The sequence below is a fragment of the Homo sapiens genome, chromosome 19 (assembly GCF_000001405.40).
Source record: "Homo sapiens chromosome 19, GRCh38.p14 Primary Assembly".
In the NCBI taxonomy this organism is placed as follows: Eukaryota; Metazoa; Chordata; class Mammalia; order Primates; family Hominidae; genus Homo; species Homo sapiens.
The window spans coordinates 54,350,674-54,376,429 of record NC_000019.10 but is presented as its reverse complement, the minus strand read 5'-3'; the positions used below and the strand labels follow the sequence as shown (position 1 = coordinate 54,376,429).

Sequence of the window (25,756 nt, the reverse complement as noted above, 5' to 3'; positions counted from 1 at the left end):
TCCCAGGTTCACGCCATTCTCCTGCCTCAGCCTCCCAAGTAGCTGGGACTACAGGTGCCCGCCACCATGCCCGGCTAATTTTTTTGTATTTTTAGTAGAGATGGGGTTTCACCGTGTTAGCCAGGATAGTCTCGATCTCCTGACCTTGTGATCTACCTGTCTTGGCCTCCCAAAGTGCTGGGATTACAGGCGTGAGCCACCGCACCCGGCTGGTCTCCATCTCTTGACCTTGTGATCTGCCTGCCTTGGCCTCCCAAAGTGCTGGGATTACAGGCGTGAGCCACTGCGCCTGGTCACATTCAGATTTTTTATTTAAAAGGCACGGATGAGCCCTTTCCACTCTCTCTTCCTCTTTCCCCTCACTGGTAACAGAGCACTCCAAGGTTCTAGGGGAGGTTGGACCCCAAAGTTGGAAGAATCTGGGCACCTGAGTCACCTGATGGAGGAGCTCCAACTGCCAACCGGGGGCCCCCATATGGACGTGTCACCCAGTGAGAAGTGAGCCTTCCATTGTGACAAACTGCAGGTATTTCAAGGCTAATTTGTTAAAATCTACGGTTAATATGCTATATATGACTTTTGAATAGTCAGAGGTGTGCCCTCCACATTAGACTGTGAGGTCCGTTGACTTGTGTGGCTCGTCTCTGACACAGACTCAAGCCCTTAATAGGCGCCTGGAAACGTATGTTTTCGTTCACACAAAAAGGAAGTTGACCAAGCCCCCTTGATGAAGCCTCACTGGGGAGGTGGCCCATCGAAGGTTGTATATTGTGAATGGGGCGAAGGCAGCGTCGCCGTCTCCTTCAAGTCTGACCTCCAGGTTGGTGTTCAGATTCCCCCTCCACACCCCACAGCCGTGGTTGCCCGTCTGGATTTGGTGTTTGGGTCAGAGATGACGTTCGGGCCGGGCGTATGGATGATGATGTCCAAGGAGACAGTTCTCTCCTTTACCCCAGTCACAGGAAGGAAGAACTAAGCCTCATGGTGACTTCCTGGGAGATACGTGGTAAGAAGCCACAAGACGGTTGGGACTGAGTCTCTGCGCACCGCATCCTGAGCCTCTGCATTCTGCACAGCGGGGCGGGCGCAGGCAGCACGGTGCCCCTTACCATGCTTTCTTCCTGGACTTTCCCTTGACCAGTCTTGGCACGGCAGGCGAGGGATTGAGGGATTGGGGCTGGGAGGTGGGGAAGACAGCTCTCTCCCTGGGCCCATGTCTGGTTAGATCAATGCTGTGGGAGCTTAGCGATCGAAGAGGGAGCAGAGATGACGGCGGGACGGCATTGTCTGCCCAAGCCTCAGGCTTCGCAGCCCAGGCTGGGACCAAGAGCTTACAGACGTCATCGAGTGCAGATTTTGAGCGACGTACTGAGCATTGTAAATCCAGATTTCTCTTCCAGAGCTGAGTCTGGGCCACAGGACCTGGACACAGGAGGGTCAGTCTTTCCGGTAATGGTGAGGGTCTGTCTTCTTGGAGCAGCACAGCGGACTCCCACCAGGACAGTGGATGCTGGGTACGGAAGGGCTGGGCTGAGGACAGTGGATGCTGGGTACCGAAGGGCTGGGCTGAGGGGGTCACTTTGGCAGTGGTTCTGGAGTCTAAATTTCTAAGGGCCTGGAACTCAGGAGACTCTAGATGCTGATTCTTTTCTGGAGAACTTCTCCAGAGTCACCATCCTGGCTTGTGCAGACTCAACATTCCACCTGAAGAGCTCTGGGAACCTCTGGGGCTGGGAGCCTTCTGGGCCTGATGAGTTCTGTTGGGATGGAGAAGATGATCTTGAAGTTAAAGATTTCAGTGGGAGTCCAGGAAAACGTCGCAGCTGTCCATCATACCCACAACAGCAAACGACTCAGGACTTTGCCAAGGTCACTGCGGCAGCCAAAACCACAGCTGTGATCTGGGGCCGGACTCATACCCAGGGGTTGTCTGGGTTCAGGTTCTGCACCCCCGGTTCAGAGAAAGAGGAAACGGAGTGGGCCGTGTGGACCCCGTCCTTCATCGAACTCCAGAACTAAGGGAACTGGGAGGGGAGAAGGCCGTCACCCTTGCACAGAGCTGCCTCCTTCAGTTCTAGTGGTTTCTACTCCTCTCTGCAGGTTAGCTAAGACGTGCATGGGTTCCAGAGGGAATATGACAATGTTTCTCTTTAATATTACTTGAACCTTTGGTTTTGATTTCCTTCTAAGTACAGGGGAGTCAATCACCCCACATGGTCCATCAATCAGGTGTCACAACATCATGCTCCTGGGCTATACATTCTCAGGTACATTTCTTCTTGAGATTATTTTTCACGTGAGGCAGAAATATGTGGCTGCTCACCAGAAAAAAAAAAAATTCTGTACTTACCCTTACAGTGCAAGCATTGGAACCTCTGGGAAGTGGCTACCCCCACCAAGGGACTTTTTCCCTGGTCTTGTTGCATCATTGTGTGACTGTTCATAACACTATTTATAGCCAACAATTCTGGACAGAAATGACATGTGTCAGCAAATTTTGCAAGTGCACAGATATATTCTGTTTCTCCTTCTTTCTTGCTGTTTGAAGTACGGGACGCCATTGCCCAAGGGCATGATGGGAGCACAATGGAGGAAGCGGGTGTCCCTGAGTCATCCTGGGGAGAAAATTCAAATTCTGCCCCAGAGAAAACCGCACTGGTCATTTACATGAGTGAAAAGCCAAATCCCATTGTGTTAAGCCATTGGTGCGATCTCGGCTCACTGCAACCTCTGTCTCCCTGGTTCGAGCTGGGATTACAGGTGTGCACCACCACTCTTGGCTCTCACTCTTGTCTCACAATAGTCGTGAAATAATTTGTGATTTGCTATTTGACCCTGTTCCCATAATCATTACACTAAGAGCTAGGTTGAGGGCAGGGACTGGATCTGTTTTGTTCATTCCTGAATCTCAAACACCAAGCGTATAAGAGGTAATTGATAAATATTGGTCTATCGACTTATTTATTTTATTTATTTATTTATTTTTGAGACGGAGTCTCGCTCTGTCACCCTGGCTGGAGTGCAGTGGCGCGATCTCGGCTCACTGCAAGCTCCGCCTCCCGGGTTCATGCCATTTTCCTGCCTCAGCCTCCCAAGTAGCTGGGACTACAGGTGCCCGCCACCACGCCCAGCTAACTTTTTGTATTTTTTTAGTAGAGATGGGGTTTCACCGTGTTGGCCAGGATGGTCTCGATCACCTGACCTCGTGATCTGCCCGCCTTGGCCTCCCAAAGTGCTGGGATTACAGGCGTGAGCCACCACACCAGGACTGGCTTTTTAATTTAATTTTGTTTTTTTAGGACAGAGTTTCGCTCCTGTTGCCCAGGCTGGAGTGCAGTGGTGCGATTTCGGCTCACTGCAACCTCTACCTCCTGGGTTCAAGCAATTCTCCTGCCTCTCAGCCTCCCAAGCAGCTGGGATTACAGGCGCCCGCCACTATGCCCCTCTAATTTTGTATTTTTAGTAGAGATGGGGTTTCACCAGGTTGGCCAGGCTGGACTCGAACTCCTGACCTCAAGTGATCCATCCGCCTCGACCTTCCAAAATGCTGGTATTACAGGCATGAGCCACTGTGCCAGGCCAGTTGATCGACTTTTAAAGAAAGAATATTCACAAATTTAGATTTAGAGAAGTTTATAAGGAGGCCGGGCTCAGTGGCTTACACCTATAATCCCAGCACTTTAAAAGGCTGAGGTGGGCAGATCACGAGGTCAGGAGTCCGAGACCAGCCTGGTCAGCATGGTGAAACCCCGTCTGTACTAAAAATACAAAATTATCTGGGTGTGGTGGTGCATGCCTGTAATCCCAGTTACTCACGAGGCTGAGGCATGAGAATCACTTGAACCCGGGAGGCGGAGGTTGCAGTGAGCCAAGATCATGCCATTGCACTCCAGCCTGGGTGACAGAGTGAGACTTCATCTCAAAAAAAAAAAAAAAAAGAAAGAAAGAAAGACAAGTTTATAGGGGAAGTGGCTTGTCAAAGTTCTCTGAGGCTGTGGGACAGGAAGTCACAGGAGAAGCTCATTCTGGCTGACTTCCCAGCTGGTGTTCTGCACCTCTATCAGTATCTTAGGAACCAAGTTACCACGACACACCTATTAGAGTGGCCAAATTCTAAAACGCAGACAATACCACATACTGGCCTACTGGCGAGGATGTGGAGCAACGGGAACTCTCATTCATTGCTGGTGGGATTGCCAAATGGTACAGCCACTTTGGGAGACAGTGCGGCAATTTCTTCTAAAACTAAATATAGCTTTGCCATGTAATCCAGCAATTGCATTCCTTGATATTTACCGAAGGGAGCTGAAAACATACGGTCATATGGATCTTTACAGTAGCTTTATTCATAATCGCCCAAACTTGGAAGCAACCAAGATGCCCTTCAGTAAGTGAGTGGATTAACTATGTGTCCAGACAATGGAATATTATCCCATGCTAAGAAGACACAAGCTCTCAAGTCATGAAAAGATGTGGAGGAGAGTTCAATGTATATCACTACACGAAATAAGCCCGCCCAAATGGCGTATCCACTGTCTGATTCCAACTATGTGACATTCTGGAAAAGGCAAAACTATAGAAAGAGTGTAAAGTTCATTGGTTGCCAGAATAAAAGGCTTGGACAAGAGGAAATCATCCCAGTGGAAATGGAGAAACGCAGGAACAAATGAAGAGCAACAGAAGAAGCTAAATATTTGGGTAAAGACAGGAATTTTGAATGATGATTTCATCATTAATGAATTAAGAAGACATTGATGCGTGCTCATTCTATATTTGATGACATTGCAAACATTGTTTTGAAAACTATACTTTGCACTAAAATTAAAAACGAGGCTGGGCACAGTAGCTCATGCCTGTAATTCCAGCACTTTGGGAGGCTGAGGCGGGCAGATCACCTGAGGGCAGGAGTTCAAGACCAGCCTGGTCAACATGGCGAAACCCCATCTCTACTAAACATACAAAAATTAGCTGGGTATGGGGTCACACCCTTATAATCCCAGCTACTCAGAAGGCTGAGGCAGGAGGATCGCTGGAGCCTGGGAAGTGGAGGCTGCAGTGAGCTGAGATTGCACCATTGCACTCCAGCCTCGGTGACCCACCTTAAATAAATAAATACAATTTTTAAATGATAGCATATATATATATACACACACATATACATACACACCAAATAGGTACATCGATGAGAGAACACTATATTTACAAAAGTGCAAGGGAAATTTGAATATAAGACTTCAGATGCTGGTTACGGTACCTGAGGTAGGAGGGGGAAACAGGCTGGAGTATACACTACAGAAATAGACATGCTTTATCAATTGTCTGATTTCCCTGGAGCATGTTGACTTCACGTTGATTTTTTTTTACATGTTCTGTTAAAAAAATTTCTTTAAATTGGCCTTTGGAAATTTACCAGCAGTGTGCTGGTAAAGTCTTGACAATCAGCTCTCTGAAAAAAAAAGCAAAAAGAAAAACAAAAAACAACCCCGACGTGTAGCATTTGCCGATTTCTCTGGTGTAAATACTCACAGCATGGCTTTGACATGAGTTTTACATTTGGTAAAAGCAAATTGTGCCTACTTTGAATAGAAGGATTGGGACAGAGATATGGTTCTTGTCAGGCACTAATTAGGGAGTAAGGCTTGTCTAATATTGCCTTGGCTCTCAAGCAAAATAAAAAAAAAAAAGTAACGTTTGGGAATCTGTGTTGCTTCCTCAGCCCCATCCTGGGTAAAATCGGAGACGTATACAGGGCAGGGAGAAGCTGTTTATTTCCGTGCCTGCGGCTGGAGCTTCTTAAGGATTTGAGCTGTGATGCTGGCACCTGGCAGACCACATCCTGTGCGGTTTTCAGTTTTGCTCCGTTCCTGACCCTGGTATAGCAGAAGCTTTTTCACATCTATGACACCCGCTATGTCTTGGTAAACCCTGGAAGGGAAAGGAGGACAAGGTTAAAATACTGTTCCGAGGACCTGGTCTCTCCACAGCGCAGGCTGGAGGTGGCAGCCCGTGGAAAGCCAAGTTCATCCACCATCGGAGCCCAGGCCAGGCTGCCAAGGCTAATATTCAGGACAAAGCCAGGCACAGGTCGGGAATCCTATGAAGATGATCATCGTCCTGAGGTCTTCCTTCCAGGGTTGCATCCGCGACAGAAGATGGAAAGAGAAATGGGTGAGTCCCTGCTACCACACCACCCTCAGGTTGCTTTTTTGGCTGAACAAGAAGGGTCCTCCCAGGCAGGAAGGGTGGGGCACAGAAACGTGAGCCAATGTGGATGACTTGGGGAGGGCTTTGCAGTTGAATCTCCTGAAAACAGCAAGAAGTACAGACCTCCGGGCATTCTAGACTCAGATTCTGTAGACGCTTCCCTTTGGCCGAGCCAAGCCAGGGTTGCTCAGGAACTGGGGTCCTTGAGATTGGATTAGATTGGACGGAACGACACAGGATTGCAACGTGCTGAACTGTGAGGACCGGGGTTTAGCTTGAGTTCCCCAGTCTGTCCACGAGGTCCAAGCTTGAGATCATTACGGCGACCACATCTCAGGAGGAAGATAGGTCAGCAACGCAGTGACGTGCTGGAATAGTTTTGAAATATTTGAACTATTCTAATGCAAACTCTTCTTTTAATGACATTTCACATTGCATCTTGTGTCATTTTATTTCTGTAGATGTTGTCTTTCCACTTGACATTTAATTGGTGTTTAATTTAAGTTGCAAATATTGTGTATGTATCTGAGTCTAGTGTGAGAATCACTACTCTATGCCTGTGCATCCCACATCAAGTAACGTTTTTGAGTGAGGGAGCTGTGCCATGCTGAATCTGCAGCATGCCTTGGACATAAGCATGTAGCTTGTCTTCTCCAGCTTGGAGGAGAGTCTCAGAGGAAAGGTCTTAGAGGAATGCAAAGGTGGAGGGGTCCTCATAATATGGAACAACGACAGCTCTGTATCACCCTTCTTATGGAAAAACCCAGAATAACTGCCCATGTGTTCTGTGACCTTGGATTGTGGAGGAACAGACGGATGTCGATTCTGCCAGCCACTCCTTCCCCAGTGGGCAGCACATCCTTGCCCCCCAACCTTCCTGGGCACCTGGAGTTCAGATACTAGGGGAATATTAATCAGGGTCCAACCAGGAAAACAGAAACCCTTCTCTGCAGTTAACAGAGAGGGAAGTAAATGCAGGACGGTGCCCCTGCATTGGATCCCAGCACAGGCAAAGAACGTTAGTGGAAAGATGATGAAATCCAAAGAAAGCCTGTCAGTTAATTATTGTACCAGTGTTAATTTTTTTTTTTTTTTGGCGGATGTGCTGGGGTCGTGTAAAGCATGAACATTAGAGGGACCTGGATGAAGGGCATATGGGAACTCTCTGTACCTCTGCAACTCTTTTGCAAGTTTAAATTTATTCCCAGGTAAGAAGTGTGTTTAAAAAATGAATTAGTCGGCCGGGTGCAGTGGCTCACGCCTGTAATCTCAGCACTTTGGGATGCCAAGGTGGGCGGATCACCTGAGGTCGGGAGTTCGAGACCAGCTTGACCAACATGGAGAAACCCCGTCTCTACTAAAAATACAAAATTAGCTGGGCATGGTGGTGCGCACCTGTAATCCCAGCTACTCAGGAGGCCGAGACAGGAGAATCGCTTGAACCCGGGAGCCAAGATTGCACCATTACACTCCAGCCTGGGCAACAAGAGTGAAACTCAGTCTCAAAATAAATATATAAATAAATAAATAAATAAATAAATCAGTCAACAAATACATATCAAAAAGGAACCAGTGGCCACATGGAGGCAAAGGAGCATGAGGAATCTTCTGAGCAGTGAAGAAAATCTTGGATATGTTGGTGGTTTCACAGCTGTCAGAATTCACTGAATTGCACAGATTAAGTGGATGCAGTTTGTGTGCAAAGGATCCTTTGATAAAGCTGAATAAAAATCACTAATGAAGACCTAAAGTGAAAAGAGGCAGGGAGGATAATCTAATGCATAGAAACCATTATGCCAGTAAAAGAAGAGTCAGAAGCAGGAAAGTCATTCTCAGGAGCCACTGTGTTTTGGCCTCATGTTCAATGCTAAGTTTCAAAACAAATGTAGTATTCCTTGCAACCATGAGAAGTTGGTGAGTGATTTGAAATCATTCTTATGATGAGGTGGAAGCTTTTGGAATCTGTACCCCTGCACTTTATCCTTGTCCTCATGATTTACAAAACCATGAAAATAAAGCTCAGTTAATTCATCATCATCAAGGTGAGCTCCAGGTTCAGTATTCAGCTTGAGGCTGGGGACTCCATCTTTCTTTAACTTTTGACTGCATAGCCTTCACTTAGTTTTTATATCTCTTAGGCATTACAAAAAATTAGGCCAGGCGCGGTGGCTCACGCCTGTAATCCCAGCACTTTGGGAGGCCGAGGCGGGTGGATCATGAGGTCAGGAGATCGAGACCATCCTGGCTAACAAGGTGAAACCCCGTCTCTACTAAAAATACAAAAAATTAGCCGGGCGTGGTGGCGGGCGCCTGTAGTCCCAGCTACTGGGGAGGCTGAGGCAGGAGAATGGCGTGAACCCGGGAAGCGGAGCTTGCAGTGAGCCGAGATTGCGCCACTGCAGTCCGCAGTCCGGCCTGGGCGACAGAGCGAGACTCTGTCTCAAAAAAAAAAAAAAAATTAAAAAAAATATATATTTTTTTAGATGGAGTCTGGCTCTGTCACCCAGGCTGGAGTGCAATGGCACGATCTCGGCTCACTGCAGCCTCCGCCTCCCGGGTTCCCACCATTCTCCTGCCTCAGCCTCCTGAGTAGCTGGGACTACAGGCGCCCACCACCACGCCCGGCTAATTTTTTGTATTTTTAGTAGAGACGGGGTTTCACCGTGTTAGCCAGGATGGTCTCGATCTCCTGACCTCATGATCTGCCCACCTCGGCCTCCCAAAATGCTGAGAAGATTACAGGCGTGAGCCATTGCACCCGGCCTAAAAAATCTTTAACATATTATATTAAGCAGTTTTAGTTGGTTTATTGTTATTTTTTAGATGGATTGCTGTCTTATGGACTCACAGAAAATTGGATTAGATTGGAAGGATATACCAGGGACTGTAACATGCAGAACTCTTTGAGGACCAGGGTTTAGCTTGAATTCCCCTGTCTGTCCACGAGATCCAAGTTTGTGATCATTACTGTCACCACGTCTCAGGAGGAAGACTGGTCAGCAAGGCAGTGATCATGCTGGAATGTTTTTGAAACGTTTGGACTATTCTGATGCAAACTCATCTTTTAATGACATTTCACACTACATCTCATGTCACTATATATGTTTTTAAATTTTTAATTTTTGTGTATACATAGTAGGTGTATATATTTATGGGGTAGATGAGATGTTTTGGTACAGCACGTGACTCCCTCTTAGTTATGCAAATTTCTCCAGCAAGTCGTTGCCCAGCAGCCTACTTGAATTCCTCCCCTGAAAACGGACTTTTCTTTTCTACCATGTGGCTAGTCCGCAAATTTTTCGAACTTTTACACTTTGCTTCTCTTTTAAATATAAACTCTACCTTTAGGTAATTTCTTTGCTCCCACATCTGAGCCTAGGTTGGTACAAGAAGCCATGCCACTTGAACACTTTGTTGCTTAGAAATTTCTTCTGACTTGGCCAGGCTTGGTGGTTCACGCCTGTAATCCCAGCACTTTGGGAGGCCGAGGCGGGTGGATCACGAGGTCAGGAGATCGAGACCATCCTGGCTAACACGGTGAAACCCCGACTCTGCTAAAAATACAAAAAATTAGCCGGGCGTGGTGGTGGGTGCCTGTAGTCCCAGCTAATCGGGAGGCTGAGGCAGGAGAATGGCTTGAATCTGGGAGGCAGAGGTTGCAGGGAGCCGAGATCGCACTGCTTCACTCCAGCCTGGGCAACAGAGCGAGACTCCGTTTAAAAAAAAAGAAAAGAAATTTCTTCCGCCAGACACCCTGGCGTGGTATCTCTAGGGCATGGACAGAATGCAGCCACGTTGTTTGCTAAGGCGTAACAAAGGTGGCTTTCGCTCTAGTTCCAAGTAAGATCCTTATTTCCAGCTGAGACCTTGTCAGCCTGGACTTCGCTGTTCACATCACTATCAGCATTTTGGTCACAACCATTTAATCCATCTCTAAGAAGTTTCAAACATTCCCTTCTCTTCCTGTCTTCCTCCGGGCCCTCCAAATAACATGAGGTCTATTCCGTTAACAAATTTCAAGTGAACAAGACGTTATTGCTGACGATGGGTCGTATGTGGTGCAGCAGATCTCTAGGCCTGTTTGTTAATAACTCCCCATTTCCCCCTCCTCCCAGCCCCCGTAACCACCATTCCCTGCTGTGATGTTGTGACTCTGGTGACTTTGCAGATCTCCTGTAAGTGACATCATGCAGTACTTGGTCTCTGCCTCTGCGTCGCTTGGCGTGATGTCCTCAGGTTTCGTCCGTGTTGTCGCCCATGGCAGAATTTTCTTCCTTGTTTAAGGCTGAATAGTATTCCCCTGTGTGTGCACCACATTTTCTATATCAATTATTCTATCAATGGACATTTAGATGGTTTTCACGTCTTAGCTATTGCGAATAGTGCTGCAGTGATCAGGGGAGTTCAGACGGCTCTTTGACATACTGATTTTTTTTTTTTTTTTAGACAGAGTCTTGCTGTTGTTGCCCAGGCTGGAGGGCAATGGTGCAATCTCAGCTCACTGCAACCCCTGCCTTCTGGGTTCAAGCGATTCTCCTGCCTCAACCTTCCAAGTAGCTGTGCCCACCACCACACCCAGCTAATTTTTTGTATTTTTAGTAGAGACAGGGTTTCACTATGTTGGCCAGGCTGGTCTCGAATTTATGGCCTCAGGTGATCCACCCACCCCGGCCTCCCGAAGTGCTGGGATTACAGCTGTGAGCCACTGCGCCTGGCCTGTTTCTTTTAAATACAGACCCAGAAGTGGGATTGCTGGACCATATGGTAGCTCTATTTTTAATTTTTTGAGGAACCTCCCCACTGTTCTCTATAGTGATTGCCCAATTTTTAATTCCTACTGTGGTATGCGAGGGATCCAGTTTCTCCACATCCTCACCAATAGTCTCCTTAAAAAAATAATATGCTTTGTAGGATATTTTTAACGTGTTAAATACCTTGTCGGGATTTTAGCATAGATCACAATATTAAAAACTTGGGGAAGGATTTCTATGGCTCCCATTTGTAATACAAGGAAATGTCAGCTTCTAGTTTTGTAACGTCTTGCCCAAGAGCTGCGACCGTTAACTTGTGGAGTTGGGACGGCGTCCAAGTCAATTGGTTGCCCGACCTTTATTCTGCCTTGTCCCATAGATTTAGAAAGAGGCTGACACATCTGGTAACTAGTTTACGGTCATCTGCCTCTAAGCGACATTTAGGGTAAGCGACATTTTTCAGAAACCAAGGCCCTCCCTCTCGTCTCACTAGTGGGAAGGGTGGAAAGAACAGGACAGAAAGCTCTTCCTCTTGTGTGAGGCAGTTGCTGTGGAAGCCCCATAGGCAGGAGGCCCCCGGGCAGCACATCCTGTCTGCTTGTGTCTGCTGCAGAGTTCTGTCCTTGCATTGGTGCGCCTCAGGCCAGGCTGCACTGCTGGGACCTGGGCCATGTCTCCCCACCCCACCGCCCTCCTGGGCCTAGGTGAGTCCTGGAGGCAGCCGGGAGGCTGGAAAGGGGGTCGGGAGGTCTGGAAAATTCCCTGCTCAAGCCTGACTCTAGTCCAGAAGATTCTGGGGAGGAAAGTGTCCTCCTCCTCCCAAGACTGCCCTGCTGCTCTCCCTGGGGCCTAAGTCTGATCAGAGAAGATCTTGTCCTAAAAACAGGGGCCCGGGTGTGGGGATGAGGTCAGCTTTAAGAAGGGCTGGGGGAGCAGGAGCCTTTTTGGAGGAGGAGACTTTGGGATTTATCTTGAAACCATTTTGCAGCAAGAAGGATTACATGGAGACAGTGATGTCGAGGAGGGTTGGCTTGGTCGTTATGAAATGCTGAATGCCCCCCAGCTCCATCGAGCCCCCTTTTGACAGCAGCCCCGTAAGGAGACTGGGCACTGGGCATTTTTCTCACTGGGGCTTCTCTTCCAGTGCTCTGCCTGGCCCAGACCATCCACACGCAGGAGGGTAAGTCATGCCTTCGTCCCATCTTCCCAGTCCCCTCTGTCACCCCAAGGGCAGTGCTGGGTGGGAGTGATGTTGATTCTTAGAGGGCCTGGAGAGATCCCTTTAAATATACCCTAGATTGCAAACTCTTCCAAATGTAAAATGCATAACCAACCCTCACCCAGTTCTCTCTCGCATCCTCCACCTGTCTTATTTTGCTTTTCTTATTTTCAAAAATTTTATTTTTAATTGACAAATAATTGCAATTTGCGGGGTACAGTGTGATATTATGACGTATGTACACATTGTGGAAAGATTAAATAAAGCTGATTAACATATCAGCCCCATCACATACTTATTGTGATGAGAATATTTTAAATCTCCTTTTAGCAATTTTGAAATATACAATAAATTATTATGAACTACTGTCATTCTGCTGTGCCATAGATCTGAAAAATTCACTCGTCCTGGCTACTCGAAACTTTGTATCATTTGATCAGTGTCTCTCCCATGCCCCGCACCTGCAGCCTCCAATAACCACCATTCTACTCTGCTTCCGGGTGATCAACTTTTCTTAGATTCCACAGATAAGTGAGAACGCGCAGTAATTGTCTTTCTGTGCCCGGCTTATTTCACTTAGCCTAACGTCCTCTGGTTCATCCATGTTGTTGCGAATGACAGAATGTCCTTCCTTTTTTAGGGCTGAATAATATTCCATTGCATATACACAGCACATTCTCCTCATCCATTCATTTGGCGGTGGGCACTCAGGTTCTTGCCAGGTCTTGGCGGCTGTGAGTAGTGCTGCGGTCACCCTGGGAGTGCAGGCGTCAGCTCCGCACACCGATTTCCACAATGAGAATTCAAACCCAACACAACCAAGGCTGAGCCCGGCACTTTTCCCCAGACGAGCCCACACTTCACTCGGCAGCTTCTTGGCGGGGAACATGACAGTCACAAAGGGCAGACTCTGAACACTCATCCTCTTCTCCATCCTCCTGGATGCACCATGTCACCCAGTCCTGGTGATTTCACTCTAAATTTTTCTCATCTTTCCCTCTCTCTTCATCGACTTTTCCTGCATCACCCCCAGGTGACAGCCCCTCTCCCCTCCGTGGCTCCCCGAGGCCGGCCTCAGCCTGTCCATGCCACTGCTGCCTGCTCCCTTCCTGACCCCAGGGACTGGCGATTTGCAAAAGCACAACCATGACCATTGTACTTTCCACAGTTTTTAAATTGTATTCAAAAATTTTCATTTAATATCTCATCGTAAGATGAAATCTTTTTTTTTTTTTCTCAGAGCCCTTCCCCTGTTTATCTTCAGATAGAATCAGACCTGTGCACCTCTCTTTGGTCTGGACATGCCCATTTTCCCAGCCACATCCTGTCCCTGTGACCTGGGGCTCACTCATCTCTACATTCCTCCAGGTTCTTTCGCTTTCTCAAACACTCCATATGCCGCTCAATATGGTGGTTCTTCTCACATGCTGATTTTGAAAAAAAATAATTCATTTTAAAAATGACCAATGAGGCTGGGTGCGGTGGCTCACATCTGTAATCCCAGCACTTTGGGAGGCGGAGGTGGGTGGATCACTTGAGGTCAGAAGTTTGAGACCAGCCTGGACAACATGGGGGAAACCCCGTCTCTACTAAAAATACAAAAATTAGCTGGGCGTGGTGGAGTGCACCTGTAATCCCAGCTACTCAGGAGGCTGAGGCAGGAGAATTGCTTGAACCTTGGAGGCGGAGGTTGCAGTGAGCTGAGATCGCGCCACTGCACTCCATCCTGGGTGACAGAGCAAGACTCTGTCAGTTCACAGCTGCAGATTTGGACAATTCTTTGATCAATACCGGTCCTCCCTTCTGGAAGTCCACCTCCAAACGGCAGGCATCCTGTGTGTGTTTCTCACATTTGTGGAATTAGCAGCCCATGAAAAACGTCTTTAAACAGATTGATAAGTAACTGAGATATGGTTAAAAGAAAGAAAAATGAACAAATGGGTGGGTTTGGGGAGATGCTGGTCAAAGGATAGAAAATTTCGTCTAGACAGGAAGAGTAAGTTCAGGATTGTGCAACACAATGACTAGAGTTAATCACAATGTATCATATGCTTGAAAATCACTAAGAGGGCAGATTTTAAATGTTCTCACCACAACAATTAACTACGCAAAGTGAGGTTATATTAATTAGCTTGATTCAGCGATTCCACAGTGTATACCTGTATCAAAACATCATGTTGTACACCTTAAATACATGCAGTTTTAATTTGTCAATAATAAGGAATGAATGAAGACGGGACGAGTGAATTGAAGCCCTGCCAGCTCTCTGCCCCGCTCAGGGATTTTGCTAATTTTGACACAACCTTCCTGTTTCAGGGCGTCAAACCCGCCCTTCCTCCTCCACCCCAAGCCCAGTTGAGATAAATGGGGTTTTTCAAGAGCCTTAATAAGAAGGAAATGCAAATTAGGCTGAGAAGAAAGTAGAAACTATAGAGGAAAACCCAGAGGTGGTGTCTCCACAGAGATCTGCATTAGCAATGGGGACCTGTCACGGGCTGGGCATCTGCTGTGAGCAGATCAGGGCTGGGGGCTTCACCCTCACCCCACCAGACCCTCAAAGGAGCCTGGCAACCCCCGTCCCACACTCAGTCCCACCCGGGGACCGGCCAGTGCCCTTCAGGCCCCAGCACAAGCCATCTCCAGAGCCCTCGCTTCTCTGTCCCTTGTCCTTCACCAATGACCCTGTCATCCCCATCCTGTGCCTCCCTCCCACACTCTGTCCCTCTGGAAAGTGGCCCTGGGCTCTGCAGCAGGCATGAAGGGCTCCAGGCTGCTCCGACACTTCCCACATGACCCTGAGCAAGGCCCAAGTTGTGAGCAAGTCTCAGGGTCCTCACTGTCAACTGGGAAAAAACTCTGCAGTGATGAGAATCACATGCACGTAGAAGGTGCAGGAGGCGTGGGAATGTTCTAAGGTTGGGCTGTGGTCATGGCTGCATAACTCTATAAAATTGCTAAAATCCCTGAATTGTGATGCTAAAATGACGTGTGTGGCATGGTGACTTCCTACAGTGGACGCTGAGATCCTGCTCTGCTTCCCTCCTAGAAGATCTGCCCAGACCCTCCATCTCGGCTGAGCCAGGCACCGTGATCCCCCTGGGGAGCCATGTGACTTTCGTGTGCCGGGGCCCGGTTGGGGTTCAAACATTCCGCCTGGAGAGGGACAGTAGATCCACATACAATGATACTGAAGATGTGTCTCAAGCTAGTCCATCTGAGTCAGAGGCCAGATTCCGCATTGACTCAGTAAGAGAAGGAAATGCCGGGCTTTATCGCTGCATCTATTATAAGCCCCCTAAATGGTCTGAGCAGAGTGACTACCTGGAGCTGCTGGTGAAAGGTGAGGACGTCACCTGGGCCCTGCCCCAGTCTCAGCTCGACCCTCGAGCTTGTCCCCAGGTCCCTGGACCCTGTCCCAGCTGCTGTCCTCTGTGGCCAACCTTGTCCTCCTCCTGACCCCAAGCCCTCCCCTCCCCTTCTTCCTCTGCACACACCTCCCCTCTGCCCTCACACCTGCTTAGGTTCCTGGAGCCCTGGTCTCCTCTGGACGCCACGGATGGCGTGGACACTCAGCTCCAGCATCTGGTGGGCTCAGAGCTGGCTCTGCTTGGCTGGGTGGGGAGTGGGTTCCCAGAGATTAGGGGGCAACCCCCCTACAAGAGGATGAGTGTCTTTTCACACGGGATGGATGGTCCCGCTTATTCCTTTCCACTGAGCCAGAACCTGCCCCAGGCAATGTGCTTCTCCTGGTGTGGTTCATCTCCCACTGGGCAGAACGCAGGGTCCAGGGATGGCCCCTGACCAGGGCGGGACAGTGCTTTGGGAAAACCTTTGGTATGTGACCACATGCACCCCTGTGTGTGCTCAGCCCGAGATGTCCTGGAGTCAAAGTCCACTGGAGAGGATCCAACCCATCTTCATGTCCCTCCAGGACCTCAGCAGTCCCCTGAGGTCAAGAAGAGCTTGTGGTGGGAGGAGCAGAGGGAGTGACCAGCCCCAGGGAGAATGGGGCAAGCAGCGGGGCTCTCCCCAGCCTCCTGTCCCCTGCCCCGTTTTCTCAGGAGTCTCGAGACATTGTCTGGGATTGCGTGATGGTCATGCGGCCTTTGGATGGGGGCTCAGGGTGGAGGAGGGCAGGTTGGTTGGGACGGGTTCTAAATCCTTCTCCTGCCCCTGTTTACAGAAAGCTCTGGAGGCCCGGACTCCCCGGACACAGAGCCCGGCTCCTCAGCTGGTCAGTAGCAGGGCCCTCAGCTGGAGGGGATTACAGGGGAATCTGTGCTGCGGATGCTGTTCCGGGTCCAGCCCTCTGCCCTGGGCTTGGAGTCAAGGTCTAGGGAGGCCACGGGAAGGCACCGACACCCACCAAGCTCTGGGAGGTCGCTAATGCTCACAGAGACCATAGCAGCAATGGTACCGTGATTGCAACCTTGTTCCATGCCAGGAACTGTGGAAAGCACTTAATGCAAGCACCACTTAATGGGGGAGGTACTAGTCTGATCCTCTAACTCCTCCTCCTCTCTAATATGCAAAACATAAATTAAAGTTTCGTGCTTAACGGCACAAGGCCATGAAGGGGCAGGGGCCACCCACCCGGGCAGCCCCACCCCAGACTTCCGGGCTCGCCCGAGCTCCACGCTGCCCCCTTGTGGGCGTGGCCTCACCATTCACCCCGCTCTGCACCTGATGGAGGGACTTAGAACTCACCTTCCAACCTGGGACACCCGGAGAGGGACGGGGCTGCTCCTGTTGGCTCTGTGATCTCCGGGGGAGGCCTGAACGGTGGAGTAAGGTCCCTTAAGAGGAGGAGGGCTCCACAGGGAGGGGACGTAGCTGTGAACGGTGACCAGGATGAAGCCATGAGGCTTCCCTTCCATCTGGCTCTGCCCTGGACTCTGTGATGGGATTGAAGCTGCCCCAAGTCCCTGGGTCTCAAGTTGTCCATCTCCCCCTGTGATCTGTGACCAGAAACTCCCAGGGGAGGACACGGGGTCATAAGCCATTCGCGGCCCCTTCCCCACCTGGGTTTCTATCCCCAGAGTACGTCCTTGGACCTAGACCCGGTGACTGCCTGTGAGGCTCGGGCTGTGAGCTCAGGCAGGTGGGACCAGGGGCTGAAGCCACATGGGGAGGTGGGAGGAGCGATGCCGTGCTCCATCCGGACCCCCTCAGAGGCTCCTGGGCTGCTGGGGCACAGCGGGACATGCTCCTGAGTCCCGCAGACCTGGTTCAAGTCCAGTGTCTGGTTTTTATTAGCCTTCTGTCTGCGGGAATATCTTGCCTCTGTTTCTCTCCCTCTCTTCTTCTCCTTCCTTCTCTCTTCTCTCACCTTCATGCAGTGACATATAAAGGTCACGAGGACAGACCCTCCTGCAGCCAGATTGCTGGGTTCATGGTTCAAATCCCGGTGGTTCTGCCACCTCCTGGCTCTATGCCTGACGGTGACTCACCCAAACCTCCTGTGTCCCAAATTCCTCATGTGAAACAGAGGCAATAGAAGAGCTGTCCTGGTAGAATCGTTTAGGGCAGACTTGAGTTCAGGTACACACGGCGCTGACATCAGTGCTGATTAGAAAACCCCAAAGGAGGGATGCTCCTATTAATACTGAGGAAGTATTTTGTCCTCACAGGGACTGTGCCAGGCACTGAAGCCTCCGGATTTGATGCACCAAGAATGAGGAGAAATGGCCTCCCGTCTTGTGAACTTCAATGGGGAGAAATAGTTAGAATGAGCAATAGAAATGCACTGATTCCCATACATGCATATACAGATAAAAATATATGATTTGCAATGTAGAATTTCAGACCTATAATTTAAATTATATTATATATGTTTACATCATAATATATATATATATTATATATATATTATATATATAAGGAAGATAATTATATAATAAAACATGTTAGTGTATCACTACATATGACTATAGTGTATATTATATATTATATGAAAGATATATTTACAATATATAGTATAATAAATTTCAAGTGTTATAGTTAATAAATAAATATAGGTATTAATGTAAATATATTATCTATTATGTATACATTATGTATAACTATAATAGAAAAAATATTTTATATTTAATCATAGGTTTATATCAAATATAAATTATACATTATATATTATAGTGAATATATGTAACATATATTATAAGTTATAAATCATATACAATTAACATTATATACATTAAATTATATGTATATGTCAAGATTACATAATTAAAAATATATTTGTTATATATTATACATTTGCATAATACATGATACATATAACTATAAATAATATAAAAACTGTAATATTGCACATATATAATACATATGTAATTTTAAATGGTGGCAAATGTTATGAAGACCAAGCCCAGGAAGTCATGGTGTAGAATAACGGGTGGTGTCCTGGACCTTAGACCGTGGACGAGGCAGGAGGGAAGGACATTCCAAGAGAGAATGTCTGCCTTTCTTGAAGGATATTGAAGATGCTGCCTCAGCCCCGGGGGAGGGGAGGGACCGCTGTTCCTGGAAGAGGGACGCTTGGCTCGGACCCTGGGTTTGGGGGAGCCCCTCAGGACCCCATTTAGCCACCTGGGAATTGGGTAGTGGCGTGCACTGTGCAGAGGAGGGTGAAGGTTGGAGGAGATGACGGGCGGGCCTGCAATGCGCTGCGTAGGGAGCCTGGGCGGTGCCCCACACACTCGCCCGCTAGCTGCAGGGCTTCAGGAAAGAGGAGCACATCGGGACTTGGATTCTTCCCACAGGAGGGCGGGTTACATCCCCGTCAGAGGGTTGCCGGGAGGGCAGATAAAATCAGACATGAGGATTCTTGCCCTCTGGTGGGAACCCAGAAGGAGGTCAGGGAGGGAAGGTCTCCCTTCCTCTTGTTGCGGGTGGTTGGTCTCTGCCTAGATCCGCAGAGGGCAGAAATTAGCGATGTCTACTACAGCTTCACGCCCAGGAAACGCGCTGTATCTGCACCGTCCAGTAGGGATGGCATCAGGCCCGTGGGGTCACTGAGTCCTGGAGGTGCAGACGGTGCAGCCAGCTTCTCATGCCATTCAACTTTGGATAAATTTAAATATCAATAGCTATGTGTGACTCTCATGCTGGACAGTAGATGTAGAAAGTTTCCATCATCACAGAAGACTCTGCTGGTCGGTGCTGGTCTAGAGGGAGCAGTCAGGGTCCTGGGGAGTGAAGGGAGATCCCCACAGTGGATGTGGGAGGACTCAGAGCCTTCTCTGTCCAGCTCAGGACTCTAACTCCTCCTCCTTCTGATTCCTCCCTCCCAGGACCCACGCAGAGGCCGTCGGACAACAGTCACAATGAGCGTGAGTGATGGGGGCCGTGGAGCATGAAGCTGGTGTGTGCCTCTTGGGGAAGGAGAAAGAGGTCAGGCTTTGGGGTTGATCAGATTCCTGCTCTGCCAATGGCAGTCTGTGTCCCTGTGCAGAGGACTCCAGCACTCAGGACCCCGGTGGTGGAAGAAGGGGATAACGATCCCTGTACTGCAGGACTATTATTTACCTAAGATATTTTATATATTAGTAAGTCTATGAAACGCACGTGACGTGTGTGTGGTATACAGTAGGTGCTCAATAAATGCACACTGCTGAAATCCTGTTTCTGTCTTTCTTAGATGCACCTGCTTCCCAAGGCCTGAAAGCTGAGCATCTGTATATTCTCATCGGGGTCTCAGTGGTCTTCCTCTTCTGTCTCCTCCTCCTGGTCCTCTTCTGCCTCCATCGCCAGAATCAGATAAAGCAGGGTAGGTCTCAGGGGCAGGGTGGGGTGACCTGGGAAGCTGTCAGGAGAGGCTAGGAAGAAGGTCTCCTTAATTCACACCCCGACTGTCCTTAGGGCCCCCCAGAAGCAAGGACGAGGAGCAGAAGCCACAGCAGAGGTGAGGCCCCTGGGAATGACTCCTGGACCTCCACCCAGTCCTCGGCCGCCAGGCTGCCCCTGAGGTTCACTTTTATTTTTCCTCTTAGGCCTGACCTGGCTGTTGATGTTCTAGAGAGGACAGCAGGTAAAGGGGGAGGAGGAGGGACAGGCCTGGGATGGGGAAGTGGGGACTTGGTGCCAATCCAGATGCAATGTGGGGGGTGGGGGGAAGAATCTTTGGGAACATTCTAGAAGGTCGTATTATACATTGGGTGCAGGATGTCATCGGAAGCTGGGGGTGGGGGTCTCAGGCAGATTTGCCTTGCGACATCCTCCCCAGAAAACTGACCATGTATTTTCTCCCCAAGACAAGGCCACAGTCAATGGACTTCCTGAGAAGGACAGAGAGACGGACACCTCGGTGAGCCTTCCTACTAGTTATTAAAGTACCCCAAATTTAGCAGCTTAAAAAAATCTCAGTTCCTTGGGTTAGGAATTCAGGAGTGGCTCAGCTGGGCGGTTCCGGCTCACGGCCTGTCCTGAGGTTGCTGTCGAGAGGTCGCCCAGGGCTGTGTGCATCCGAAGGCTCCCGTGGGCTGGAGGATCCACGTCCAAGACGCTCACTTCCCCGGCTGTGGGCAGGAAACCTCTGTTCCTCTCACAGGGGCCTCTCCACACAGCCGGCTTCCCCCAGAGGGAGGGATCCAAGGATGGGTGGCAGGGAGGGGACAGAAGCACCATGTCTTTTGGCTCAGCTTGGAAGTCAGGAGTCTTCCCTTCTGCCTTGTTCATTGTCACGTAAACCAACCCCAATACCCTGTGGGAGGGCTCTTCACACGGATGCAATTTAGGAGAGGGTCCTCAGGGCCCATGGAGATGGCCGCCACAGCCCTCCCTCCCCACAGCCCCTCGTCTCACCCTCCACCAGGCACTCCCTCACCCTGGGTCTCTCCCTCTTAGGCCCTGGCTGCAGGGAGTTCCCAGGAGGTGACGTATGCTCAGCTGGACCACTGGGCCCTCACACAGAGGACAGCCCGGGCTGTGTCCCCACAGTCCACAAAGCCCATGGCCGAGTCCATCACGTATGCAGCCGTTGCCAGACACTGACCCCATACCCACCTGGCCTCTGCACCTGAGGGTAGAAAGTCACTCTAGGAAAAGCCTGAAGCAGCCATTTGGAAGGCTTCCTGTTGGATTCCTCTTCATCTAGAAAGCCAGCCAGGCAGCTGTCCTGGAGACAAGAGCTGGAGACTGGAGGTTTCTAACCAGCATCCAGAAGGTTCGTTAGCCAGGTGGTCCCTTCTACAATCGAGCAGCTCCTTGGACAGACTGTTTCTCAGTTATTTCCAGAGACCCAGCTACAGTTCCCTGGCTGTTTCTAGAGACCCAGCTTTATTCACCTGACTGTTTCCAGAGACCCAGCTAAAGTCACCTGCCTGTTCTAAAGGCCCAGCTACAGCCAATCAGCCGATTTCCTGAGCAGTGATGCCACCTCCAAGCTTGTCCTAGGTGTCTGCTGTGAACCTCCAGTGACCCCAGAGACTTTGCTGTAATTATCTGCCCTGCTGACCCTAAAGACCTTCCTAGAAGTCAAGAGCTAGCCTTGAGACTGTGCTATACACACACAGCTGAGAGCCAAGCCCAGTTCTCTGGGTTGTGCTTTACTCCACGCATCAATAAATAATTTTGAAGGCCTCACATCTGGCAGCCCCAGGCCTGGTCCTGGGTGCATAGGTCTCTCGGACCCACTCTCTGCCTTCACAGTTGTTCAAAGCTGAGTGAGGGAAACAGGACTTACGAAAACGTGTCAGCGTTTTCTTTTTAAAATTTAATTGATCAGGATTGTACGTATTCAAGGTGTAAAATGTGATAATTTGTCGTACACGTACATTGTGCAATGACAGTCACAATCAATTCCTCAGCGCACCCATCGCCACAGATACGATACATTAGATATTCTGAACTTGCTCATCTTAGGACTTCACATTGGTGTCAGTGTTTTCTGACAAATCACGTGTATCAGGAATGAATGAGGGAGGTGTGGCTGGGTGAAGGCAGAGAGCCGACCCTACAGGTCCACATCTGCACATACATGCACAGGAATGCATGCTCTCACACACATGCATACACACACGCACACACACAGACATGCACATACACTCACACGCCCCAGGAAATCCAAGGAATCACTGAGCCTGCTGTTGGTTGAGGCATTTCTGAGTATCCACCCTACCTGTAGGGTCAGATGTACTGATTGACACAGAAAATTACCCTATGTACCACTAGGAGGCGGCAGAATCTCATTTGGGTTAATCTGTGTTTGTCTTTAAAAAACAAAAACAGGCCGGGCATGGAGGCTCACGCCTGTAATCCCAGCACTTTGGGAGGCTGAGGTGGGCGGATCACGAGGTCAGGAGATCGAGACCATCCTGGCTAACACGGTGAAACCCCATCTCTACTAAAAATACAAAAAAATTAGCCGGGTGTGGTGGTGGGTGCCTGTAGTCCCAGCTACTCGGGAGGCTGAGGGAGGAGAATGGCGTGAACCCGGGAGGCGGAGTTTGCAGTGAGCCGAGGTGGTGCCACTGCACTCCAGCCTGGGCGACAGAGCGAGACTCCGTCAAAAAAGAAAAGAAAAGAAAAGAAAGATTTTTAAGAATTCAGCAAAAACTCAGCCAGCTCTTTCTATGGGGCAGTTGCTAATTTAGTTCTAGGCAAACGTGGACACATTAAATTCTCCTACAAACCCTCCACAGCGTGCTCTATTATTTTCCTCATTTATAAAAACAGAAACTATGGACCGAGACATGAAGTAACCTGTCCAAGGTCGGCCAAGTCTCAGAGACAGGGGCTTCAGACCCACCTGAGGCTCCTGACTCCACATTATGAACCCCGGGATGGGCTGCAGCTCGGTCTGCTGGGAGGTTTCTGTGCTGGTTCAAAGAGGGTGGTACCTGACTGGCCTACCCAATTTTAATTTGTACTGAGCTTTAATTTTCTATTTGTGCTCAGGTTTAATTTCCTCCTGGGATCTGCTTCCCAGTGCTGTACTCTGTATCTTTGCTTTCTTGTGTGAACATTGTGACCGATTTTCCCTGTTCTTCACGTGGGACACATTCTCCCTGCTCTGTCTGTCTCTGTCCCTGTCTCTCTTTCTGTCTTTCTCTCTCACTGTGTGTCTCTCTGTCTCTCTCTCTCTTTTTTTTTTTTTTTGAGATGGAGTTTCGCTCTTGTTGCCCAGGCTGGAGTGCAATGGCACAATCTTGGCTCACTGCAACCTCTGCCTCCCGGGTTCAAGCGATTCTCCTGCCTCAGCCTCCTGAGCAGCTGGGATTACAGGCATGCACCACCACACACGGCTAATTTTTTGTATTTTTGTTAGAGACGGGGGGCTCTCCATGTTGCTCAGGCTGGTCTTGAACTCCCGACCTCAGGTGATCTGCCCACCTCAGCCTCCCAAAGTCCTGGGATTACAGGCATGAGCCACTGCGTCCAGCCGTCTTTGTCTCTTTTTCTACATCTCTGTCTTTCTTCTCTGGTTGTTTTTCAACCATCAGCTGGGTGTTTTCTCCCATAACGTCTTGTTTGTTTGACTATGAGGTTGACAGGTGGGTACATGAACTCTATAGCAGAAGGTGGACAGTCTGCACATAGCAGAGGATGGGTGAATTTTTCTACCCCTTGCAGAGCACAGGAGAGCTGAGCAGATGCCAGTGTCTGCTCCAGTGTAAGGAAGTCCAGGAAGTTCAGGTGGTGAGGTCACAGTGGAAAGCAGGACAGATAGAGTTTAGGGGAAATTAAGCAAAAATACCACACTGTTATTTCTTGACATATTAGTGGAAAGAGGAAGGGCCCAGAGAGAAGACAGAAAATTAGATGCAGGGGCTTGTTTTTTCTCTTGACTTGCCAACCCGCCCAACGCAGGGGCCAGAACTCAGGGTGGTGAGATCTGGGAACATTGCTGTGCGGAGAAGATGTCCCTCCTGCTGCACGGGCCCCCAAGCACCACCTGGGGGAAGAGCCATGTTTAATTCACCTGGCAGTGCAGTGTGGCCAGGCAGAGAGGGAGGGCCTACCCTGTGCTTATGATCCCACCCCAGTTCCCCTGGGGTGTGCCCTGGCGGTGAACACCAGGAGGCTGCAGTGGGGCCCAACGTGAAAGGGAGGAGCAGCCTCACCGGGGCCAGATGGGGCAGCAGCAGATATTCACAGATGTCCCTGTGAGTAACCAGGGCAGAGGCCAGGGGTCTGGCCTTCCCTTTCTTGGAGCCCTGGGCCAGCTGGGCAAGGCGTTGAGAGAAAGATTACCCGGTGACCTTTATCAAAGCAGAGTAAGGAGGGCTTTATTCAGAACCATCACTGTAGGTACCAGGACCCCAGCGGTGGGATTTTGTAGTAGGGGAAAGAAAATGGGCTCGACGTTGAATACAGCATGAACAAGTGAGAATGTTTGTTATACAAACTATAGGGTGGACTTTTTTTTTCTTTTTTTTAACTTTTTTTTACCTTTTAGTGTAAAACTGAACATAGAAAATAAATTCATGAAGAAGGGATATTTTCTGAGGGTGTCCAGGGCTGCCCAACACCTCGTCTACCTTCTCTGTCATAGCCCCATTTAAAACACTCTCTCTGGATGAATACACCAAACCTCACAGTCTTTGCTCTCTTGCTAGGAAGAGGAGCAAGAGCGTGTTTCACTCTTGGCTCCTGCTTACACACCTGCTGTCCAATGGAAACTACTACTTAAGACATTTAAAAATAGTTGTGGTGATAGCATGTTGTGTTTTGGTTGGTGATGCCAGTTAGTCTCTGAAAACTTTCTGTGATGAGTGTAAAATTCTACACCTTAATCTCCTTTCTTGTAGGATCTGGGAAGCAGTATGCACTTGATTGCACCAAAGATTTTACGTTCATAGAAAATTTCTGGCATCTGTGTGAAGAAAGTAAACTATATCTTCCATTTAGACAAATAAAATATCTTTTTGATAAAAGGTGACTATATGTTTAAGGCTTAGGGAGAAGAAAGAATCAAGGAATATAAATGTGTTGATGTCTAAATGCAATTCTGACACTTAACCAGAGTTAAAAGTGCTTTGAGAGTCCCCAGAGCTCTGCACCTGCTCTACATCTACTGGGATTTAGAGCTAAAGCTTCCTGAAACCGTTGTTCTGCTTGGTCCTTCAGCAGTGACAACCTGTTCTGTTCCAATTGCTAAGATCTGAGTTGTGAGAGCTGCGGGATGGGAATTTTCCTGTTGCCGTTCCAAGAAGTAAAATGTGCCTCATTTAGTCCTAAATTGTACCTCCATAAAAATCACTTTGGGCCGGGCGCAGTGGCTCACGCCTGTAATCCCAGCACTTTGGCAGGCTGAGGCGGGCGGATCACGAGGTCAGGAGATCGAGACCATCCTGGCTAACACGGTGAAACCCCGTCTATACTAAGAATACAAAAAAATTAGCCGGGCGTGGTGGCAGGTGCCTGTAGTCCCAGCTACTCGGGAGGCTGAGGCAGGAGAATGGCGTGAACCCAGGAAGTGGAGCTTGCAGTGAGCTGAGATCGAGCCACTGCACTCCAGCCTGGGTGTGACAGAGCGAGACTCTGTCTCTAAAAAATAAATAAATAAATAAATAAATAAATAAATAAATAATAAATCACTTTGATAAAGAAAGGACAAGGTCTTTATTTTTTCATGAATTATTGC

The 25,756-nt window shown here is 49.0% G+C and overlaps 1 protein-coding gene across 12 annotated transcripts, besides 1 other annotated feature; it reads left to right on the top strand.

The window, feature by feature from the left end:
* Positions 1 to 341: 341 nt before the first annotated feature.
* LAIR1 (leukocyte associated immunoglobulin like receptor 1) lies at positions 342 to 25,046 on the top strand. 12 transcript variants are annotated; one of them, XM_047438811.1, is made up of 11 exons: positions 342 to 526; positions 5,717 to 6,168; positions 12,100 to 12,135; positions 15,224 to 15,514; positions 16,358 to 16,408; positions 19,464 to 19,502; positions 19,811 to 19,939; positions 20,032 to 20,074; positions 20,163 to 20,200; positions 20,424 to 20,476; positions 21,016 to 25,046. In XM_047438811.1, exons 2-11 carry the CDS (start codon positions 6,153 to 6,155, stop codon positions 21,160 to 21,162), a joined length of 843 nt encoding a protein of 280 aa, XP_047294767.1. In that variant the 5' UTR covers positions 342 to 526; positions 5,717 to 6,152; the 3' UTR covers positions 21,163 to 25,046. The 12 variants fall into 12 exon arrangements, 10 of the variants coding, with proteins under 10 accessions (XP_047294767.1, XP_047294766.1, XP_047294768.1 ...); XM_047438810.1 differs by having other exon boundaries at positions 342 to 2,100; XM_047438812.1 differs by lacking the exon at positions 12,100 to 12,135 and having other exon boundaries at positions 342 to 2,100; positions 15,221 to 15,514.
* Positions 18,873 to 19,392: an enhancer, noted in NCBI's record as "H3K4me1 hESC enhancer chr19:54868647-54869166 (GRCh37/hg19 assembly coordinates)". NCBI's record gives its function as "activates a minimal SCP1, AML or CMV promoter by ChIP-STARR-seq in naive H9 embryonic stem cells {active_cell/tissue: H9 hESC(naive)}" and the evidence as "EXISTENCE:reporter gene assay evidence [ECO:0000049][PMID:30033119]".
* Positions 25,047 to 25,756: the final 710 nt, after the last annotated feature.